General features: G+C 40.5%; 1 protein-coding gene across 1 annotated transcript in view, besides 9 other annotated features; it reads right to left on the minus strand.

Annotated features, from left to right (window-relative positions):
- Window positions 875-1,826: an insulator, noted in NCBI's record as "3' MAR (+43104 to +44079); Xba I/BamH I fragment". NCBI's record gives its function as "may contribute to locus-independent transgene expression in cell culture (PMID:7799927); two copies in any orientation on a fly transgene can establish chromosome insulation (PMID:9528807, PMID:15542833)" and the evidence as "EXISTENCE:reporter gene assay evidence [ECO:0000049][PMID:7799927]" and "EXISTENCE:transgenic organism evidence [ECO:0001131][PMID:9528807, PMID:15542833]".
- Window positions 875-2,315: a biological region, named in NCBI's record as "APOB 3' scaffold/matrix attachment region".
- Window positions 1,107-1,745: a matrix attachment site, noted in NCBI's record as "3' MAR; Dra I/Rsa I fragment". NCBI's record gives the evidence for it as "EXISTENCE:fractionation evidence [ECO:0000100][PMID:2592370]".
- Window positions 1,155-1,755: a DNaseI hypersensitive site, noted in NCBI's record as "DH1; the nucleotide coordinates are approximate for this feature". NCBI's record gives the evidence for it as "EXISTENCE:in vivo cleavage assay evidence [ECO:0001075][PMID:2168168]".
- Window positions 1,170-1,183: a repeat region, noted in NCBI's record as "14 nt direct repeat flanking AT-rich hypervariable region (HVR)". NCBI's record gives the evidence for it as "COORDINATES:sequence alignment evidence [ECO:0000200][PMID:3786150, PMID:2885324]".
- Window positions 1,190-1,203: a repeat region, noted in NCBI's record as "14 nt direct repeat flanking AT-rich hypervariable region (HVR)". NCBI's record gives the evidence for it as "COORDINATES:sequence alignment evidence [ECO:0000200][PMID:3786150, PMID:2885324]".
- Window positions 1,213-1,717: a repeat region, noted in NCBI's record as "AT-rich hypervariable region (HVR); approximately 34 copies of 15 nt consensus repeat length". NCBI's record gives the evidence for it as "COORDINATES:sequence alignment evidence [ECO:0000200][PMID:3786150, PMID:2885324]".
- Window positions 1,731-1,744: a repeat region, noted in NCBI's record as "14 nt direct repeat flanking AT-rich hypervariable region (HVR)". NCBI's record gives the evidence for it as "COORDINATES:sequence alignment evidence [ECO:0000200][PMID:3786150, PMID:2885324]".
- APOB (apolipoprotein B) overlaps window positions 1,903-20,812 on the minus strand; it is a 42,645-nt gene continuing 23,735 nt past the window's right edge. The window contains exons 19-29 of the mRNA NM_000384.3: window positions 20,197-20,379; window positions 19,466-19,587; window positions 16,913-17,123; window positions 15,844-16,019; window positions 15,547-15,734; window positions 14,922-15,067; window positions 13,634-14,007; window positions 5,554-13,125; window positions 5,035-5,149; window positions 4,743-4,926; window positions 1,903-3,808 (exon numbers count right to left, since the gene is read on the minus strand). Coding sequence (NP_000375.3) covers window positions 2,204-3,808; window positions 4,743-4,926; window positions 5,035-5,149; window positions 5,554-13,125; window positions 13,634-14,007; window positions 14,922-15,067; window positions 15,547-15,734; window positions 15,844-16,019; window positions 16,913-17,123; window positions 19,466-19,587; window positions 20,197-20,379 — 10,876 coding nt within the window. The 3' untranslated portion in view covers window positions 1,903-2,203. The remainder of the gene's footprint in view (window positions 3,809-4,742; window positions 4,927-5,034; window positions 5,150-5,553; window positions 13,126-13,633; window positions 14,008-14,921; window positions 15,068-15,546; window positions 15,735-15,843; window positions 16,020-16,912; window positions 17,124-19,465; window positions 19,588-20,196; window positions 20,380-20,812) is intronic.
- Window positions 1,915-2,315: a DNaseI hypersensitive site, noted in NCBI's record as "DH2; the nucleotide coordinates are approximate for this feature". NCBI's record gives the evidence for it as "EXISTENCE:in vivo cleavage assay evidence [ECO:0001075][PMID:2168168]".

The raw sequence follows: 20,812 nt of genomic DNA on the forward strand, positions 1-20,812 counted from the left end.
TTAAGCCACAATTCCAGGCCTCCTTTCAGTTTGAACACTCACTAAATTTTTGCTGCTTATAGCTCATCAGGGAAACTCTTGCAGAACTATTCCTGGAACTATTCCATGTGGTGCCTTGGGATTTGAGTCTAATTTCCATGTTTCTCTCACTCTCAAAACTGACCCCTCATTTATCCACTCATTTATTCGCTCACCCACCCATCCATCCATCCATCCATCCATCCATTATCCAACAGACTTTCCTTGAGTACCAGATTCATACACTACCGTATTATAGCTCCATAGACTCTTTCTCACTCTTCAGTTCAGTACAGAAGAATATTGTTAAGGCTATGTGTTTCCTTTTCCAGGTAACGCCTGTGCATTTTAACAGTGGGCTTCACCAAGAGAATGTGAAGCTTTATGAAAGAATGGTGGAGGTTGAAGGATTTTTGAATTAAAAAAGGAGGTCTTTTCCAAATAGACCTCATGTAGGATTTGGGAGGTGGTGACCTCCAATTTCTTATTGCCCCCAAGTTACACTCTTCTTTGCTCTTCAGTGTCATGGAAAAGAATGCGCTGTTTTATATCTACCCTTGTCAGTAATATGAGTGCAAGTTTTGTTGCACAGGTTTTTTGCAGCTTTCTCTTTCTAGAGCTCAGCTTGGAGGCTCTGACTGGATATTGCCAGTGTTTAAAATCAGAGTTTGAAGTGAGTGGATGTGGCAGGAGAAACCCTTGGGTTTTTACTACACTTGGGATTGTTGGATATTATATTTGGAAAAATAAGGATGCTTAAGAGCCTAAAGAGCATACATGTATGCTGGGTCACAGAATTGTTAGGAATCTACATCTCCACCCCTCCTCTCCCAATCATACTTTCTTGGCCTTGAATGGATCCTGGCAGAGCTCCAGGGAGACATCTGGGGTCCGTATTGCCATGAAGCCCCTGGGGCTAGGACTCCCTAGCCATTCCTTCTCCACTCCTGGCAGGCTGAGTGAAATAAAGGACTTGTTATTTCATCTCGAGGCCTACCGGAGAGCCTTGCCTTGCAAAGGCAGACAGTCAGTGAGGAAGACTATGTGGCACATGAAGACACCAGAGGTGTTCCTCAGGATCAAAGTATGTACAAGCCTTTGTGAATATTTTTTCCTTCTCACTTGGCAAATACAATTCCTGAGATCAATAACCTCGTCTTTTTAATTTTTTCCTCGTCTTTTTAACTATTTATAAAATATTGAATTATAAAATATGTAATTATAAATACTTTAATTATAAAATATGTAATTATAAATACTTTAATTATAAAATATGTAATTATAAATACTTTATAAAATATGTAATTATAAAATATGTAATTATAAACATTTTAATTATAAAATATGTAATTATAAACATTTTAATTATAAAATATGTAATTATAAACATTTTAATTATAAAATATGTAATTATAAACATTTTAATTATAAAATATGTAATTATAAACATTTTAATTATAAAATATTTAATTATAAACATTTTAATTATAAAATATTTAATTATAAATATTTTAATTATAAAATATTTAATTATAAATATTTTAATTATAAAATATTTAATTATAAATATTTTAATTATAAAATATTTAATTATAAATACTTTAATTATAAAATATTTAATTATAAATATTTTAATTATAAAATATTTAATTATAAATATTTTAATTATAAATATTTTAATTATAAAATATTTAATTATAAAAACACAATTACCTCATCTTTTTAAATATTTTTGCAAAATATTTCCCTCCATAATTTCTCCGTTTCCATTTTTATTCTGTTACTTAAATCACACTATGTGTTCTAGAGGTTTTGCTGTGCCAGAACATTTTATCAATGCCCTCGTTTCACTGTCTTTCAATACAAATGAGCCACATTCAGTGGTATGATACACAATAAAGACTCCATTTATTTGTTCCTCCTCCCCCAAGTTTAGCAAAATAACTCAGATCCTGATTTTCTTTAACTTGCAAAAAATGCCATCCTTCTGAGTTCAGAGACCTTCCGAGCCCTGGTGCCAGCTTTGGTGCAGGTCCAGTTCATATGTGCTTCTGCTTATAGTCTACTGCCTACTGCAAGGCTGGCTCACTGTATGGTTTTATCAATATAGGCAGTTTGAATTTTTTCTGTGCTATGTGAAAGTTCAATTGGAAAAGAAGAATAAATGAAGATTTCTTTTAAAAAATTAGAGGATGATAGTAAGTTCTCCTGGAGCAAGCTTCATGTAGGGGTTCATGACTGTGGTTGATTGCAGCTTTTTCAGTAACTCCGTGATGTATATCAGAAATGTGTGGTAGTTTTGAATGGACAGGTCAATCAATCTTTTGGATTCAGCAATAAATTTTTCATAGTAATCAGAGAGTTGGTCTGAAAAATCTTGCAGTTTATATCTAAACTGCTGGTGGTAATCAGAAATTATTTTCTTCGTCGCAATGGCCTGGCTTTTAATTATTTCCTGAGCAGTGGCAGAAAGCTCTGCAATCTTCTCTTTCCCTTTTCCATCTGGATCGGTAAGGATGCTAAGATATTCCTGAATATTTCTGTGCAGAAATTGCTCAACTTGACTTGAGAGTTGGGAAGTAAAGTTAGAGGCACTGACAATATATTCAGAATGGAAGTCCTTAAGAGCAACTAACAGGTTCTTGATCAGACTGACTATCTTTTCTTCAAGTTCATAATATTTCACTGTCCAGCCAACTATACTTGGATCAAAATATTCTTCACGAAGGGCCATAATGTATTGATGGATCTGCTGTAACTCTTGAGAAGCTTCCTGAAGCTCGTTTTGAATAAATTCATTGAACTTATGAAGATTAAGGCATAGGTTTTCTTTCAACAATTTAAAAACATATGGGATATAATCACTGAAGATTGTGTTGATCTCATCTTGGATATAATTAATAAGATAAGTAAATTTCATCTCTTTCAGCTGTTTAATGTTATCTTCTATTAGTTGGAAAATGAATTGTAAAAGGTCCTGAAGATTACGTAGCACCTCTGTGGTCTTGAGAGACTGAATGGCTTTAAATACCTCTTGGGCTTCTTTTGATAAATCTTTCAACAGTTCCCTATACATCGAGATTACATCTATTAGTTTATGTTTCCTTAACTCGAAAGGAAGTGTAATCACTAGGTCTTGGAAATAGGAAAACAGTATTTCTGAACCATTATGGACTTTCGAATATACCTGGGACAGTACCGTCCCTACCTCCCTTATGAACATAGTGCAAAGTTCCTCCCTAGTGTATATCCCAGGTTTCCCCGGAAACTGGAATCTGGGGAAGTTCAGAAAATCAATGAGTGAGTCAATCAGATGCTTGACTTTCATATGGAATTCTTGAGTAACTCGTACCAAGCCATCAAACACGTTATCCTTGAGTCCCTGGAAACTGGCTTGGCCTTCCTGAGTCAACAGTTCCTGGTACAGATTCTGGGCCTTGTCCTTCCACTCTTGGTAGGTCCCAGTGGTGCCACTGGCTGCTTTCTGGAACCTCACGTCGATATCATCAATTTGCCTAATGGCCCCTTGATAAACCCACTCAGCATTGTTCTGCAGATTTCTTCTCAGCTTTGAAGACACTTCTCTCAGGGTGAGCCCTGTGTGTTCCCAGTGGTACTTGTTGACATAATCATAAAGGACCCCTGTGGCCTTGGGCACGTTGTCTTTCAGAGAGGTTAGCAAGCCAGAAGCTGCCTCTTCTTCCCAATTAACTTTGATCTGAGTTTCCTCATCAGATTCCCGGACCCTCAACTCAGTTTTGAATATGGTGAGTTTTTTATCTGGAGAGGACTAAACAGAGAGAAAAAAAAAAATAACATGTTTTCAATTACTCCAATTACACAATATAGTACACTAAAACTTCATTAGCAGTTAAAAATAAAGATCAGAGAATCTTTCATATACTGAAAGGGATTTATCTTTCATATGTCAGTTCATGTGTTTGTTTTATGGTTAAATAAGTCTACTGTTGTTAATTTCTCTTTATCACATGCCCCAGAAAGGATTTAACAAAAACGCTTGCTGTTTGTCATTTACATTGTGACACTTAAAATTAAAGCCTTCCTAGGACTGAAAACTGGAAGAGGAGTGGGGGGAAGAGAAAGAAGAGGAGAGAGAAGAAGAGTCAGGAAATGACAGATAGGAAAAGAAGAAATAGCAAAAAAGGCAAGTTGGAGCCCACCCTGCAGAGACCCAGAATCCCAACATCAGTACGCATTCTCCAAGCCCATGACAAACTTTTAGTAACAGTCATAGAACCATGTTTGGTCTTCTCCTCTGGTAATGTCACCCTTGATTTGGCCCTGGCAGAGCTTGTAAATGACATGAGAGGAATTTGATGTATCTCATCTAGCAATTCTATTGTGGGGAAGAATTTTAAAGTTTTAAATACTACAGAAACCAGTCCTCTCTGAAAAATATACCCTGCCTATGGCTGAGCTTGCCTATGATTTAGATGATGAGGTATAACCCTCATCTTCCTGGATTTGCCCAGAATTAATAAATAATAGTGCTGATGGGATGTCATGTGTGCATCTAAACATTAAAATCAATCAAGGACTCATTGTAATACTTTCTAGAGAATATTTCCTCAGAGAAGAAGTTGCTTACCGCCTGTCTTTCACCTAGTTTGGGGAATCTCTGAATATTTGGTCCTGAATTAAATGTATCTGCCCCAATTCTCCACTCGCTCTTGGGGGCGTGTCACTCATTAGGTGGTATTTACCTGAGGGCTGTAGTAGAAGTTCCATTTAGAAAAGTCGTCATCTTCATCCATATCCATGCCCACGGTGCCTACGGCTGGGGAGGCTGCTGAGGTGGAGATGCCTTTCTTGTCTTTCTGGTAGCGCAGATGGAGATCGGTGAACGCTGGGCTTTTGATATTGAGGTGCGCTTTTCCTTCCCATTCCCTGAAAGCAGAAAAACAGATGAGCTATCACGAAAGGGGTATGGAGATGAAGAAAATCACAATGAGTTTTCAAAAGGTATAAGGTTTCAATTCAATAAAAGCTCCATACTGAAGTCCTTCATATTTGCCATCTTCTTCATATTCTGCACTGAAGTCACGGTGTGCAAATGTTCCTTTAGTCTTAGAGGCTAACGTACCATCTTCGATTTTGTGTGTTCCCAAAACTGTATAGGAGAGATTTTGTATTTTATTAGATTCATAACAGTAGGACGTTGATGTTTTCATTGTGAAAACTGGGAGAATTCTATCCTAACCAGATATTTCACTTGTGTTTAAAATATGCAATGTACAGCTCACACTTATTTTAAAATAAATAGTTAAAAGACATTGTTAGTCCTAAAATAATTACAGAAAAATCCATTTTCTTTAAAGCTGTTTGTCTTGAATGACACTAGATTTTCTACAGTTTGGTTTTTACGTGTAGGGTATACATGTATCTCTTTTCTTACTTAAAATTTTGTGACATTGAGTAATTGTACATCTACTCACAACTAAATACATAATTATTTACTCATAACTCTCATTGAAAATATACAGTATCTAGGAGAGGAGGCAGGATATTTCTTACCATTTAGTTCATATTCTAGGAACTGTACGGTTGAGCTGCATGTGGAATCCAGGACTGTTTCAACATAATCTGCTTTGTTTTTCAAACTGGCACTCCAAGTGGCATTATACACGGGAGAGTCTACCTCAAAGCGTGCAGTCAGTGCTTGAAAGGAAGGAATGACAATTCCAGCAGGTACAGAGAACTTAATGGAGGGAATCTCAATGGTCTGCTCAGGCACGATGATGGTGGGCAACTCAAAGTCTGCGATCTTGTTGGCTACTGCATTTAGATCCAAAGCAGCAATGCCATCTGAAACACTTTTTGGAAGCGTGAACTGGGACACAGTTAACTGAGATTCAGGCACGGTTATCTCAAAAAAGGGAATCAAGGAGTCTTCTGGTTGAGAATATTTTGTTAACACATCAACTTCAGGGAATTTTACCTCGGGGAGTGTTGGTAGGTTGAGGGCAAATGATGAAGTTCTCAGCTTCTTATAGATTTGTATTTCTCTGAAGTCAAGTTTGCACGATGGAACCTGAAGATCTGTAAATGGGACATGGAACGTAGGCATGACAAGAACTGAATTTAGATCATTTAGTTTCAGCCCAGGAATAATGAATTTATCAGCCAAAACTTTTACAGGGATGGAGAATGAATAGCCATTGGGGTTTTTGGTGTACACAAAGGCAGTTGAAACACGAAGATGCTGTCTCCTACCAATGCTGGTGGTTACATCCAGCTTTAGGAAATCCCATAAGCTCTTGTCATAGACTGGTAGGATGATATTTTTGAGGAACCTTAGGTGTCCTTCTAAGGATCCTGCAATGTCAAGGTGTGCCTTTTCTTGGTCATTGGAAAGCTCGACCTGGCTCTGGAAAGACCCAGAATGAATCCGGACTTCATTTTTCCATCTGATCTTCTGGTTCTTAGTGTTAGCATTCAGGGCCACTTCCTGGCCAAGGTCAGGGAAATCATGGAAGGAACTGGGCTGACTTGCATGGACCTGAACAAGAGCTGACATTTGCCATGGAGAGAGTTCCAGGGTGGCTTTGCTTGTATGTTCTCCGTTGGTGAAAAAGAGGCCCTCTAGCTGTAAGTGGTTTTTCGTACTGTGCTCCCAGAGGGAATATATGCGTTGGAGTGTGGCTTCTCCAGCAAAATTTTCTTTTACTTCAAGGTTCCAGATATCATCAATTTTGGAAGTGCCCTGCAGCTTCACTGAAGACCGTGTGCTCTTGGAATTCAAGTAAGTGTTGGCCTCACTAGCAATAGTTCCTGAATATTCCCGAGAAAGAACCGAACCCTTGACATCTCCTTTGGTAGATGACTCAATGGAAAAGTAAGAGGTGAGGCTTTCCAAGCTAAGCTTGTGGTCAACTGCTCCTTTAGCGGTAGAGTACAGCATTGAAGAATTGAAATCATACTTAAATTCCATGGAGGAAGAGACAGTAGGTTTTGACTTGGTATTTCCATTAAGTTCTTGCTTGAAATTCATTCTCAAAATTGGAATTTGGGCTTTTGTGGTTGTTGCCACTGACACTTCCATATTTTTCGTGGTTAAGCTCACAGTACTGTTATGACTACCCTCCACAAATTTGTTGCTCAGAGACAGAGCTGTGGCTAACTTCAATCCCCTTTTTCTTGTCAATCTTGTGGTGCCCTCTAATTTGTACTGCAGTGCATCAATGACAGATGAAGATGAAGAAAGGAGATGAGCAACAATATCTGACTGGTTAAAAAGTTCAGCATTGGTATTCAGTGTGATGACACTTGATTTAAAGGAGAAATCATAGGTAATATTGCCCATGGCAGGAATAAAAATATGGCTTATGGTACACAATTCCTTGAAATCTGGAAGAGAAAGCTTGAGATTTCTAGGGACATGAAGGACTGGCAGCTCTAATGATGGCAGGATTAATGTGTATGAAGGCACACGGACGTCAGAACCTAGGATGGAGAAACTAGGCATGCTGACTGCTTTTGGGAACACATAGCCGAATGCCGACATCTCTATGGTGAATGGAGACACTTCAACATTGACAACTGGAACAGTGTATCCAGGAATTTGAAAGGTCCTGGGGAGCTCGTCGTGAGATTTTTCAGCTTTGTACTTATCAAACTTAATTTTTGTTTCATTATAGGATTTGGTGACAAAATCTAATGCATTGTTTCTGTTTTTTTCAAAATGCCTGTCAAAGGATTTGATGCTCTGACTGATAAACTCACAAAGCACAGCCAAAGGATTTGTGATGGAATGCCTGTGTTTGTTTTTCTTATACTGAGCTTTTACACTTAAATCAAATGATTGCTTTGTCGTTTTCAAGAATTCCTTCAAGCCTGTTTTTTCCCATAGAGAGAAATCTTTCAGTGGAGGAGTTGTGATTATTGTGTAAGGTAGACGCATTTCAGGAATTGTTAAAGGAATGTTTAAGAAATCCAGATTTGCTTCTCCATTTATTCCTACATGGGCCTCCATAATGTTCTCGTTGTTTCCAGCAGAGAAATTTTGGTTGTACTTATACTGATTGAACCTAGCACTTACTTGCCAACTTGCTTGCTGGGCACTGGGACTCAGAAACAGTGCATAGTTATTCAGGAAGTCTATCTTCCCTGTTAACCTTAATGGAAAACGAACTTTCAAATTCCCTTCATTGTTTGTGGATGCCGTGATCTCAAATGGCTGGGCTGAAAAGAAAAGAGAATTTTTCAAAGTTCCAATAACCTTTCCATTTAAATGAGCATCATGCCTCCCAGTAAACTCTGCCTTCCCTTCTCCAAACAGTGCCATGCCTTTAGCAGTTAGAACACTGTGGCCCACATGCTGGGAATCGACTTGTGATTGAATTTCAAGTTTAGAAAAGTTGAGGGAGCCAGATTCATAAACCAAGTTTTGGTTTACTCTTAGGTGTTTGCTATTGATCTTATTGGACAGTCCAAAGGAAGTGAGGGGTCCTTCTATGGTGAAACTAATTTGTGATTCATGTGTTCCCTCATCTGAGAATCTGGGGCAGGCCCATTTCCATGACCCTTTTCCAGAAGAAGTCCATGCTATGTGGCCAGCTTTCAACAGTGTCTTGATCTCGTTGCGCAGGTCAGCCTGACTAGAGAAGTCCAGTTTGGGGATGTTCAATTTGTGGAAGTATTTAGTGTTGCTATCCAGGGTAAGCTGATTGTTTATCTTGACAATCACTCCATTACTAAGCTCCAGTGTATTTTTTTCTGTGTGTAAACTTGCCACTGTGTTTGATTTTCCCTCAATAGCATTTCCAAAAAACAGCATTTCACTCCCATGCTCCGTTCTCAGGTACTTGCTGGAGAACTTCACTGACTCCTTCAGAGCCAGCGGATTAATCTTAGGGTTTGAGAGTTGTGCATTTGCTTGAAAATCAAAATTGAGAACTTCTAATTTGGACTCTCCTTTGGCAGTGATGGAAGCTGCGATACCTGCTTCGTTTGCTGAGGTGGTTCCATTCCCTATGTCAGCATTTGCATCTAATGTGAAAAGAGGAGATTGGATTTTCAGAATACTGTATAGCTTGCCAAAAGTAGGTACTTCAATTGTGTGTGAGATGTGGGGAAGCTGGAATTCTGGTATGTGAAGGTCAGGAACTTGAAAATCATTAAGGTTGAGAGTTGGGATTATGAATTCTGGAATTGCGATTTCTGGTAAACGGAAGTCTGGCAGGGTGATTCTCGCTAGAGGAATGTCCTCCACCTTCAGATCCCTGAGATATATATCTGGAACGGGCCACTGCAGCTCACTGTTCAGCATCTGGTCAATGGTTCTGATGATCTTTACTTTCATTTCTACAAAGTCAATTGTAAAGGAAGGAATGTGGAAGGTGTTAAGGATGGTAAATTCTGGTGTGGAAAACCTGGATGGGATTTTTATATTTTTTAAGTCTTTGAAGTTTATCTGAACTGATGGAATCCTCAAATCTGTTAGGGGGACTATAAAATCAGGTGTCTGGAAGGTAGCTTTCTGAAGAGCCTGAAGACTGACTTCAAAGGCAGGCATGGTCCCAAGGATGGTCTTGATTTCAGGAACAGTGAACCCTTGCTCTACCAATGCTTTCATACGTTTAGCCCAATCTTGGATAGAATATTGCTCTGCAAAGTCAGTAAGGTTCTTAGCAGCAAGAGTCCACCAATCAGAAATGTAGGTGACAAGTGTGCTATAAACCTGGCCTACCAGAGACAGGTATCGTTGAAGTTCCTGCTGAATGTCCATTTGATACATTCGGTCTCGTGTATCTTCTAGGGTCTCTCGGAATTTGGCCTTCATGTGAGCCAAAGATGCTGAACTTAAAGCCTCCTGTAACCAATTGATGATTAAGGTTATTTTGGTGTCCTGTAGGCTTTCCAGATACACTGCAACTGTGGCCTTGGTTTCCTCTAAAAACAGTTTTAATGCTTCAGCTTTTTGTGGTAGTTCCAGAGCCTGAATTTCACCATTGAGTCTCTGAGTCACCTCACGGATTTTGTCATTGGTTTCATCTACAAACTGGTGGTAATCAAATGACTTTAATTTCTTTATCAACATGTCAAGGAATTTGTTAACATCTTCAATGAATGTTTTAAAAGATAATTCATTAAGCTTCTTGACAGCATCATCAATAAATCCAACCAATTTCTCAAAGTAATCTTTTATCTTAACTTGTTGTAGGACATTGCTTAGCTTCTGAATAGTCTCCTTCAACTTGTATTGGTGGGCCAACTCTACTAATTTATCCATTAAAACCTGGATTTGTTGGTCTACTTCATACCTCTCGATTAACTCATGGACTTTGGCTCTGAAGGCATTGATTTTCTCAGCTACTTCAAAATCCCCAATAAGATTTATAACAAAGTGTTTGACATGCTCAAGAATGTCATTTATTCTTTCAAATGAAATTGTAGTTCCCAATTGATCTAAAAGCACTCTAACATCAATAGCCTCAATGTGTTGTTTTAACTTTCCAGCTAGGTGCTGGATGTCTATATTCTGTATGTGTCTCTTAAGCTGCTGCAGTTTTTCTTGTATCTGGATTCTGATTTGGTACTTAGTATCCACATTTTGAATCCAGGATGCAGTACTACTTCCACTTTTGTTAAAATCAATATTTTCAATAAACAAATGTAGATCATGGATTGTTTTTACTAAATTTACACGGATATGATAGTGCTCATCAAGACTTTTTAATTTTTCAATGATTTCATCAATAATATTAGCAATAGCTATTTTCAAATCATGTAAATCATAACTATCTTTAATATACTGATCAAATTGTATCATATATGTCTGCAGTTGAGATAGTTTTTCATTAAAGTTGATTTTGGCATCATCTAATGCAATTTGTATATCATTTTCTGTAATTCTATACTTTTTTGTGAGAGCAGTCAGTTTCTCCTTGGCATGTGAAACTTGTCTCTCCCAATTGAATGAATTCAGATAATCATTAGCTTGCTGTGGGAGTTTTCCCAGGGCTGCTCTGTATTTTCTTACAAATTGATCAATATTGATGTGCTTCAGGTTTCTCTGTACGTTTTCCAGTACAACTATAATGGTTTGTCGATTCCTCTCAAAATATTCTTGCAAGGTCTCAAAAAATGGGAGGTTAATGGAGTGAACATCTTGGTTTTTATCATACTTTACAAAAGCAACAATTGTAAATTCTTGGGGCTTCTCAACGGCATCTCTCATCTCTAAAGCATCAATGATATTGATGGGCTCACTGAGTAAAAGTGGCACTTTAATTGGGGAGTCTAGTAGAGTTAGGTCAGCCAGAGTTCGTCCAGTAAGCTCCACGCCAATTTTATCTTTAGTGTTGTAAGCATCCAAGTCCTGGCTGTATTCATTGTTGTTAAATTGGGTCTTGAGTTTCCAGGTGCCTGTCTGCTCAGCTGGAGTAAGCAGGGCACTGACTTTGTGTTCAAGAGCTGCACTGATGCTTTTCCTAGACACGAGATGATGACTTGTGGAGCCTTTGTAATCATGAGAGAAAGTAAATGCCAGAGGTTCTGCTTTCAACAGGAATTTGCTATACAGCTGCCCAGTATGTTCTCCCCAGAGAGCGAGTTTCCCATTGCCATTTGTATGTGCATCGATGGTCATGGTAAACGGGGCCATTACAGAACGGAAGACATTGCTGAAATGCAGTGAGTCTGAATTATAGTTTGTGCTCATGTCAATGGCTGAAGCCAGCCCAGCGATGTCTGTGTTGAGCCGATGGCTAAACTCCACACCCTGAACCTTAGCAACAGTGTCTGCTTTATAGCTTGCTGATAAGGCAGCAGAAGAGATGGCATAGATGTGTTTTATTTCATTATTTTGGTAGGCTCCTTTTAGGTTACCAGCCACATGCAGCTTCAGGGGTTCTAGCCGTAGTTTCCCATTGTTGGTGAGATCCAGAGCATTGTATTTCAGGTCACTGTTTAAAGTAGTTACCAGAGAATAGGGCTGTAGCTGTAAATTAACAGTTTGCTTATAAAACTTGTCAGAGCTGTAAATGTTGTCAAGTTTTGAAGAGAAGTCCAGTGATAAGCCTGCAATGTTCAGACTGTTTGTGTGGTCAAATTTCATTTCAGCATATGAGCCCATCATGTCATTTGAGAGCTTAAGTCCTTCTTGACTGACCTTGAAGTTGAAAATGTTTTTGCTGTCGACACCCAGAATCATGGCCTGATAAGCACTTCCCAGTGATAGCTCTGTGAGGGCGGCTTTCCCATCCAGACTGAATTTTGCATTGTGTTCCCTGAAGCGGCCATTTGTTGTTAATTTCATAGATGCCCCAGAGAGGCCAAGCTCTGCATTCAGCTCATTCTCCAGCACCAGGAGACTACACTTCAAGTTGGTCGTTGCACTGGTAGATATTCCATCTTGGCCAATCCTTAGTGTCGCCTTGTGAGCACCACTATTAATTTTGTCAGTGCCTAAGATGTCAGCATTTAACTCAAGACCATGGGAATTTAGTGATCCAGAAAGCAGGCTGAAGAACCTCAATGACTCGTAATCAGCCTGATATTCAGAACGCAGCAGTGCATTTTGCTTAGAGAAGGTCATATCCATCTTGTTAGAAGTGGCAAAGTTCTTATACTTCCCATTGGTGTCAGATTTTAAAGTCAGCTCGTAGTTCTCATACTTTAGGGAAGCAGTATTTTTAATGATGCCACTTTGCAGATCAGAGGTGGAGGTGAGGGAGAGGGTTCCATCTTCATATCTTCCTGTTATCTGGTTGGTGCCTTGGAGGTAGGAGGAGTTAAACCTCAGGTTGGACTCTCCATTGAGCCGGCCAGTGTTAGGATCCCTCTGACAAGACAGGCCATATGTGCCTTTAGCATAGAACGAAGAGACTCTGAACTGCCCATCAATCTTGACTTCTTTGACAAACAAATGCTGTTTCTTTTTGGAGTCCAAATGAACTGAAGCAGACATCTGTGGTCCCCAGGAACTAGATGCATCGAATATTAGTAAACCTTTTGAGACTGGGTTGTTTCCAAGTTTTTCTACATGACTGAATTTGATATTCGAATCTAGAAATTTGTGGCGTAGAGACCCATCACATGATAGTGTGAACGTATTCTTGTGGTCATATGTTGTTTCTCCAGATCCTAACATAAAAATGAAAAGACATTGGTTAAATTAAGCAGTACATTTCCAGAGCAATCTCTATGTTGAAAGTCTTTCAATAATAAAGCCCCATTTTTCTGGGCCAATTGTGCAATAGACTCCTCCATCTGTAATGCAAAGATAAAATCTGATAGCAAAAGGCATTCCTCCAGGAAGCCTTGCCTGACCACCACAGGCTTTGTTTAGGTTCCCTTGTTGAGTGCTTCCACTCTACCTTATACTTATATACTACACTTTATCATAGCACCTCTCACACTGAATTATAATTGCTGGCTTATCTGTCTACTTTCTGTTACTGCCTACTAGAATATTTAATACACGTGATATGTTTAATAAATATTTCTATTTGTTGAATAAAATAAAAGACTTCCAAGTAGCAAGGAAGATTATCTGCTAGAAAGCCAAAGTCCTTTCCTCCCTGGAGGAGGCTCTCCTCTTAGAGCCTGCCATGAACTAGCCCGGTGCACCCTTTACCTGAGCATAGCTCACCTTGCACATTGTAGGAAAGCAGGTCAACCACAGAGTCAGCCTTCATGTGGTAACGAGCCCGAAGGCTGAAATGGTCTGTGCTGGTGTTGCCACCACTGTAGGAGGCGGACCAGTTGTACAAGTTGCTGTAGACATTCGTGGAGAGGTCTAGAACACCCAGGAGAGGCACTTGCAGTTGATACAACTTGGGAATGGTAAAAGTAGGGACTTGGAACTCTCGAGATGGCAGATGGAATCCCACAGACTTGAAGTGGAGGGCTGGTGTCCTAACAGTCTCTAACATCTTTAGATCTCTGGAGGATTTGCCACCAAAAGGCAAAGGAATCTCAATTTTCAAACTGTTCTTGTTCAAGGTATATTTGACCCGGCCATCGCTGAAATGAACAACAAAGATAACATCCCCACAGTCAGACATCAGTCATTCAAAGTTCTCTGCCTCTGACCTTCACAACAATATTGTACTTGCCCCATTCCCAAAGCCACTCTGCACTTTTCTTTGTGCTACTCCTATGCCTGGACCCCTTTGCTTTTACCTCCACCTGTCAAACACTCAAATCCTGACAAAGCTCTTCTAAGGGCCACTCCTTATCATTACCATCCCACCTAAGTCATAGCCAATTTGTCTCATTCTTACAGTTACATAGTCCCTTGCACCTTTCTCAAAGAGCATGTCATAATTTTGCTTATATAATTAATTATTTCTCATTTGTTGATGTCTCCATGGTATCTTCTTGAAAGAAAAGGCTATACCTTACCCAGTTTCTATCTTCTCACTGTACCTAGTCTAGCATTTTGCACATAGGGGATACTTGATACAAATTTGCTAAACTGAATTGAGACAACTTGATTTGTGGAAAGAACATAGGTATGGAAGTCAGTAAGCCTGGGTTAAAGTATTTTCTCAGAATGCTGCCTCCATTTAGTGCTCAATGGCTGTTCTGACTCTCTCTAGCTTAACAGCAAGCCTGTAGTCAATAACGCCTCTAGCCATTCTGAATTCTTCACAGTCAGAGGGAGAATTTGCTTATAACAGGTTGTACTGAATAAAATATCTTAGGGTGAAAGTACCAGAATCCTCTAATGACTTTCTTAGATTCTTCCTGACAGGGTTGGTGTTCTCATGTTTACTAATGCAAAGATGCCACAGTGTTTGTGCTATAGTTATTAATCTCCTTAAAATGCTTAAATTATTTCCTTTAAAAATTTAAAAAAATGTCTAAATCATGCTATGTAAAATCTTTCATTTACTTTGCATGGTTCAAGAAGCCTTGCTGCTTTCTTCTTTTACCTTTTTAAGAAGAGGTTTTCTGGGATGTGGAAGTCTGGCAATCCCATGTTCTGGAGGTTGAACTCCTTCAGGCTATTGAGGTGGTCTTGCAAAGTCTGGGTATAAGGAAGACTCCCAGATGCCTTCTGAAGCCATGAGCTCATTGCCTACAAAATGACAGGAGATTTTTAAGGTAATGGGCTTGGATGAGCCTCAAAGAGCAATGAACATTAGGCAAAAATACCGATTTGACAAGTTAATTATTAAGCTGGACAATGCACTGAAAGTTAAAAATAAATAACAGAAAATTATGAATCTTCGTTGCCAGTCACTGATCACTGTCCATATTTATAAAAGGAATGTCTAACATAGTCAGCCTCCTAGCTGGTGTCCTGAAGCTTCCTTTGATACCACTAGGCAAAGAACTGTTCTACTTAGTAGCATCTCTTTGATATGTATCACATTCAGCTTTGTGTAACTGGGTAACTACACACTTGTGAAAGTTTTTTTTTCTCCCCAAGAATTCCCTGGGGGGAAGGAAGCATGCCTTATACATCTTTGGAAACCTTCCTGCACCTAGCTCAGAGTTGAGGATGTAATTAGCACTTATATCCATGTATTTATTGACTGGCAGACTCATACTTACAACTATTAATTTGGAACCCACGTGCCGGAAAGTCATGTCTGTTTGAGGGACTCTGTGATCCAGGAGTCTATTAGCATACATATGCAAGCTCTTAGGATAATCGGAGAGATCCACAGGGAAATTGGAAGTCATTTTTTTGGTATCTACATTGGTGCCTGTGTTCCATTCAAATTCAATCTTCTCTTCATCTGAAAATACGTAGGAAATAGTTGTGAATGGTACTAGTTCAGCCTGTAACCACAGGTCTCAACACCTGCATTACTTTGGAAGTGCTCACACAGGGGAAGAGACACATACCATAATGCCATGCCACCCTCTTGGAAACTGTGGAGCCATAAGCTGTAGCAGATGAGTCCATTTGGAGAAGCAGTTTGGCAGGCGACCAGTGGGCGAGGATCTCACTTCTGGCTTCTGCTTGCAAACGGGGTATGGAAATAACACCCTTGATTTTTCTTTCTTCCTTTGTGTCACAACTATGGTAAAGAAAATCAGTTGGCACCAATGATTTTGTCCTTTCAATGGAGATATGCAGGATTAAACAGAAGTTCCATTTGTGGTGATCAAAACCAGATACAAGGATGGTTCAGAGAAACAGCCACAGATCAAACTCATCAACTTCTAAAGCCAACATTCAGCACAAATTAAGGACTTTGCAAACAGGTTTAGGAGAAAGAGAAGTTTTTTGAAAACTGTTTGAATCCTGCTCTGCTATTTACTAGCTCTGTGATTTTGACCAAATGATTTAACCCCTCTGAGCTACCATTTCCTTATCCATGAAACAGGAAAACTCACAGTGACCTCGCAGTTTATTGTGAGGACCGAGATAATTTCTTTAAAGCACCCAGCACTGTGCTTGATACATGAATAGTAAGTGCCTGATAAATGGTAGGAAAATCCAACTGGACATGCGCAGAGGGTTAAAATGTTGAGAGCTTGGCCGGGTGCAGTGGCTTACACCTGTAATCCCAGCACTTTGGGAGGCCAAGGCAGGTGGATCACGAGGTCAGGAGATCGAGACCATCCTGGTCAATATGGTGAAACCCTGTCTCTACTAAAAATATAAAAATTAGCTGGGTGTGGTGGCATGCACCTATAGTTCCAGCTCCTTGGGAGGCTTAAGCAGGAGAATCACTTGAACTCGGGAGGCGGAGGTTGCAGTGAGCCGAGATTGTGCCACTGCACTCCAGCCTGGTGACAGAGTGAGACTCCATCTCAAAAAAAAAAAAAATTGTTGAGGGCTCTCTCTGCCACTCTGATTGTAGACTAGGGGAGAACATGGCTTGGTCAGGTATGAAGTGGAAGAGGAATAATGAAAAGAACCACCCAGGCCTGCAGTGCAGGTCAGATGACCCTCGGCCTTCTTTACCTTAGGTGGCCCATGAGGGCGACCTCAGTAATTTTCTTGTTCTGAATGTCCAGGGTGAGTCTGTAAGACGTTTTGCCCTCAGTAGATTCATCATTAACTCTGAGGATTGTTCCGAGGTCAACATCAAAATCCGGAATTTGGACTTCACTGGACAAGGTCATACTCTGCCGATTATATTTGAATGTCATGGTAGCCTCAGTCTGCTTCGCACCTGGACGAGTGTATAAGAGAATCAAGAGATGTGTGGTAAGAAGCTATGTTTTGGGCCGGGTGCGGTGGCTCACACCTGTAATCCCAGCACTTTGGGAGGCCAAGGCGGGCAGATCATGAGGTCAGGAGATCAAGACCATTCTGGCTAACATGGTGAAACCCCGTCTCTACTAAAAATACAAAAAATTAGCCGGGCGCGTTGGTGGGTGCCTGTAGTCCCAGCTACTCAGGAGGCTGAGGCAGGAGAATGGCATGAACCCGGGAGGCGGGGCTTGCAGTGAGCCGAGATGGCACCACTGCACTGCAGCCTGGGCAAAAGAGCGAGACTCCATCTCAAAAAATAAATAAATAAATAAATAAATAAATAAACAAACAAATAAATAAATAAATAAATAAAGAAGCTATGTTTTGGAAGGAAAGAGAGGAAAAGGTAGAGAAACTCCAAGGAATCAATGTGCTTAAACAAAAACACAGTTCAGGATTTTACTGAATTTTTTTTTTCTCATTAAAATTTTTTAATGGGTCTCATTTACTGATAATTTTAAACTCAGTTGTGTTCATGTATGCAAGTCTTTATGGATTGCCTGTTATGAGCCTATTGTGTGCTGGGCACTGCTCTTGGTACTGGGGAATCCTTGCTTTCATGGGGCTTACCTTCTAGTGGGGGAGGTGTACAGGCAATAAACAAGTAACTTGCTCATGTCAGATGGTAATGAATGTTATGAAGAAGAGTAAAACTGGATACAAGGATAAAAGAAAGGGATAGAAGAAGTGTTATTTCATACTTGGTGGTCAGAGAAATTCTCTCTGATAAGGGCACATGTGGGCAGAGACCAGAATGAAAAGAGGTTGGAGCCACGCTGAGTTCTGGGAGGAGCACATTCCAGGCAGAAGGTCAGGAATGCAAAGGCCCTGAAATGGGGAGCACTTAGCTTGTTTGTGGAACAGCAAAGGCTCGCAGCCCTTCTGGGCCAGGAAGACACGACATCTCTATATTACTTTCTACCCAAGATGCCTGTCCTGGTTCCTTGCTGCCCTTGCCCTGGGCTCCATCTCCCCAACTCCCCCTTTCTTTGTAACAAGATTCCCGGGCGTCCTTCAATCCATAGGCTGGTCCATTTTATATCCTTCGTAAAACAATGTTTACCAAACACTATTTCCCCAGCGTGCCCTGCTCCTCCAGTGCTTTCTATCATGGGATTTTCTTCCTAGTTTAATTCTGTGATATGCTATCCCTATATAAAAATTTTTCCAAAGTGAACACCTAAATGTGCCCCATTCCCTAAAACCTGCTCCTCGCTATCCCTATATAATTTTTTTTCCAAAGTGAACACCTAAATTTCTCCCATTCCCTAAAACCTGCTCCTCCAGTAGCCCTTTCCATCTCAATAAATGGAAGTTCCATTTTTCAGTTGCCCGGGCCAAAAACCTTAGGTTTGTCTTCATTCCCCTTTTCCTCTTACACTCAACATCCACTGTATCAGCAAATCTTGTCAGCCTAATCTTCAAAATATGGCCAGAATCCATCCCCTTCTCATATCTCTTCTGCCATTGCCCTGATCCAAAACAACACTGATTCCTGCCTGGATTATTGTGATAACCTACATATTAGTTTCTCTGCCCTTGTCTGCCCATAGTCTTTTCTCAACATAAACATAAATCAAATCATGAGGACTCCCCAATGGCTTTCGTTTAATTCATAGAAAAAGCCAAAGTTCTTACCATGGCCTATGAGATTATCCTTCCTTCACCTCTCCATATCTCTCTGTCCTCATCTTCTACCTCTTTTCTCCCTGGTCTTTCTGCTCCAGCCATACTGTCTTCCTTCCTTTCCTTGAAACATGGTAGTAGTGTGTCAGCCTCAGGGCCTTTGCACTTGCTGGTCCCTCTGCCTGTTAACAGTCTTACCACACGGCTTCTCCTCTTATTTCTGATAGGTCTCCTTATGCTCACTTTACCAGGGAGACTTTCCCTTATTATTCCAAATGCACTGCTTTCCCTGCCCTTCTTCCTCCCTCCTACTCCTAGCCCTCCATAGACCAGTCTACGCTCTGTTTTCCTCCTCAGTACTTATCTGATATTCCAAATATTAACTTGTTTGGTTGTTCACTGTAACTTCCATGAAGGCAGAGACTCCATTGTTCACTGTTCTAGCCCCAGGTCTTAGAATAGGCCTGCCGCTTATTGGGTACTCAGTTAACCCAGGTCTTAGAATAGGCCTGCCGCTTAGTGGGTACTCAGTTAACCTATTTGTTAAATAGGTTAAATTACATGTCTTCTCCTCATGAATTCTGAACCTGAGACTGCGAGCAGAGATGAGGCAGCTGTGTTTTGAATACTCACCTTCTGCTTGAGTTACAAACTTCAGGGTATCCACCAAGGCTCTGTCCTCTCTCTGGAGCTCATAGGTTGCGCTGACAGAATACTGCTCAATCTCTCCTGTAGGCCTCAGTTCCAGCTCTAATCTAAAGACATTACAATGAAGACAGTGCATAATGTTAGAGCTTTCAAGGATGGTGATTATGTTCCCAAAACAATTCAGCCTCAAATGCAACAAAAATATGGTCCTTATTTTAACATTGTCTCTTGCCCTTAACTAAGATGATCTTTTTGATCCCTCAGTCCTACAAGAACCCAAGGCAAGGGCAGACACCAGGATTCCCAAGACTTTGGACAAGCAGAGCAGGAGTTGGCTGGTTGTTTCAGCAAAGCTGAGAACAAGCACTGGAACTTGGGGGCTGAAGACAGGGAGCCACCTAAGTACGGTGAAGGCTTCAAGCACATTGGTGGGCTCCAGGAAGCTCATAGCGATGGGTCTGGAGGCTCAGAAACATGGACACTGAATTAGGAGCAAATTGGGATCTGTGCTGTGATCCCATCCCATGCACAAGGAAGCAAAAGGTGACACCCAATGTGTTGGCCAGAGGACCCTGCTTTAAATACCCAAAGATGGTGCAAACCCAGAAGGCTAGTGACAGGGTCTTACAACACAGAGTATTTTTTCCTGTGCCATGCTAGGTGGCCATGATGTGGAAGGTGAGAAAATGCTGGGTCAGGCACTGAGCATCTCTAACCTGGTGTCCCCGGTCAGCGGATAGTAGGAGGCGGAGTCTGTGGAGCTGGCGTTGGAGTAAGCGCCTGAGGTGCAGTAATTCAGGCCAGGAAAGACTTGCTTGCAAACTGACCAGGACTGCCTGTTCTCAATGAGAGGTGGGATCACCTCCGTTTTGGTGGTAGAGACCAAATGTAATGTGTTGCTGGTGAAGAACAAAAATACCTGAGTTATTGCCAAGTCATGAATCAAAATGGACATCACAAATTCTCAGGGTGCAAATACCCCCTTATCCTCCTGTCTTCCCTCAGTCCACACCTATCTCTAACTATTTAATTTACTGAGAAACAAATAATATTAGAAAGAACATCAACATGACAAGCCATGAGAGTGACTCTGAAGCTTCTGGCTGAGTTCTTTCCATCTGTTACCTGTAATCCCCACAACAGTAGGCTTATGGTTCTCATTTTACAGAAGCAGAGGCTCAGAGATGTTAAATAGCTGATCACTGGGGCTGAACTTCAGTGTGCCCCTTCCTTCCTACAATGCAGGGCAAGAGAAACTGTCTCTTTCATATGAAATCTCCTACTCTCTACCTGCTTCCTTCCACCTGCATTAAGCACGCTCAAGTCTCTTCC

The sequence above is a fragment of the Homo sapiens genome, chromosome 2 (genome assembly GCF_000001405.40).
Source record: "Homo sapiens chromosome 2, GRCh38.p14 Primary Assembly".
NCBI classification, from domain to species: Eukaryota; Metazoa; Chordata; class Mammalia; order Primates; family Hominidae; genus Homo; species Homo sapiens.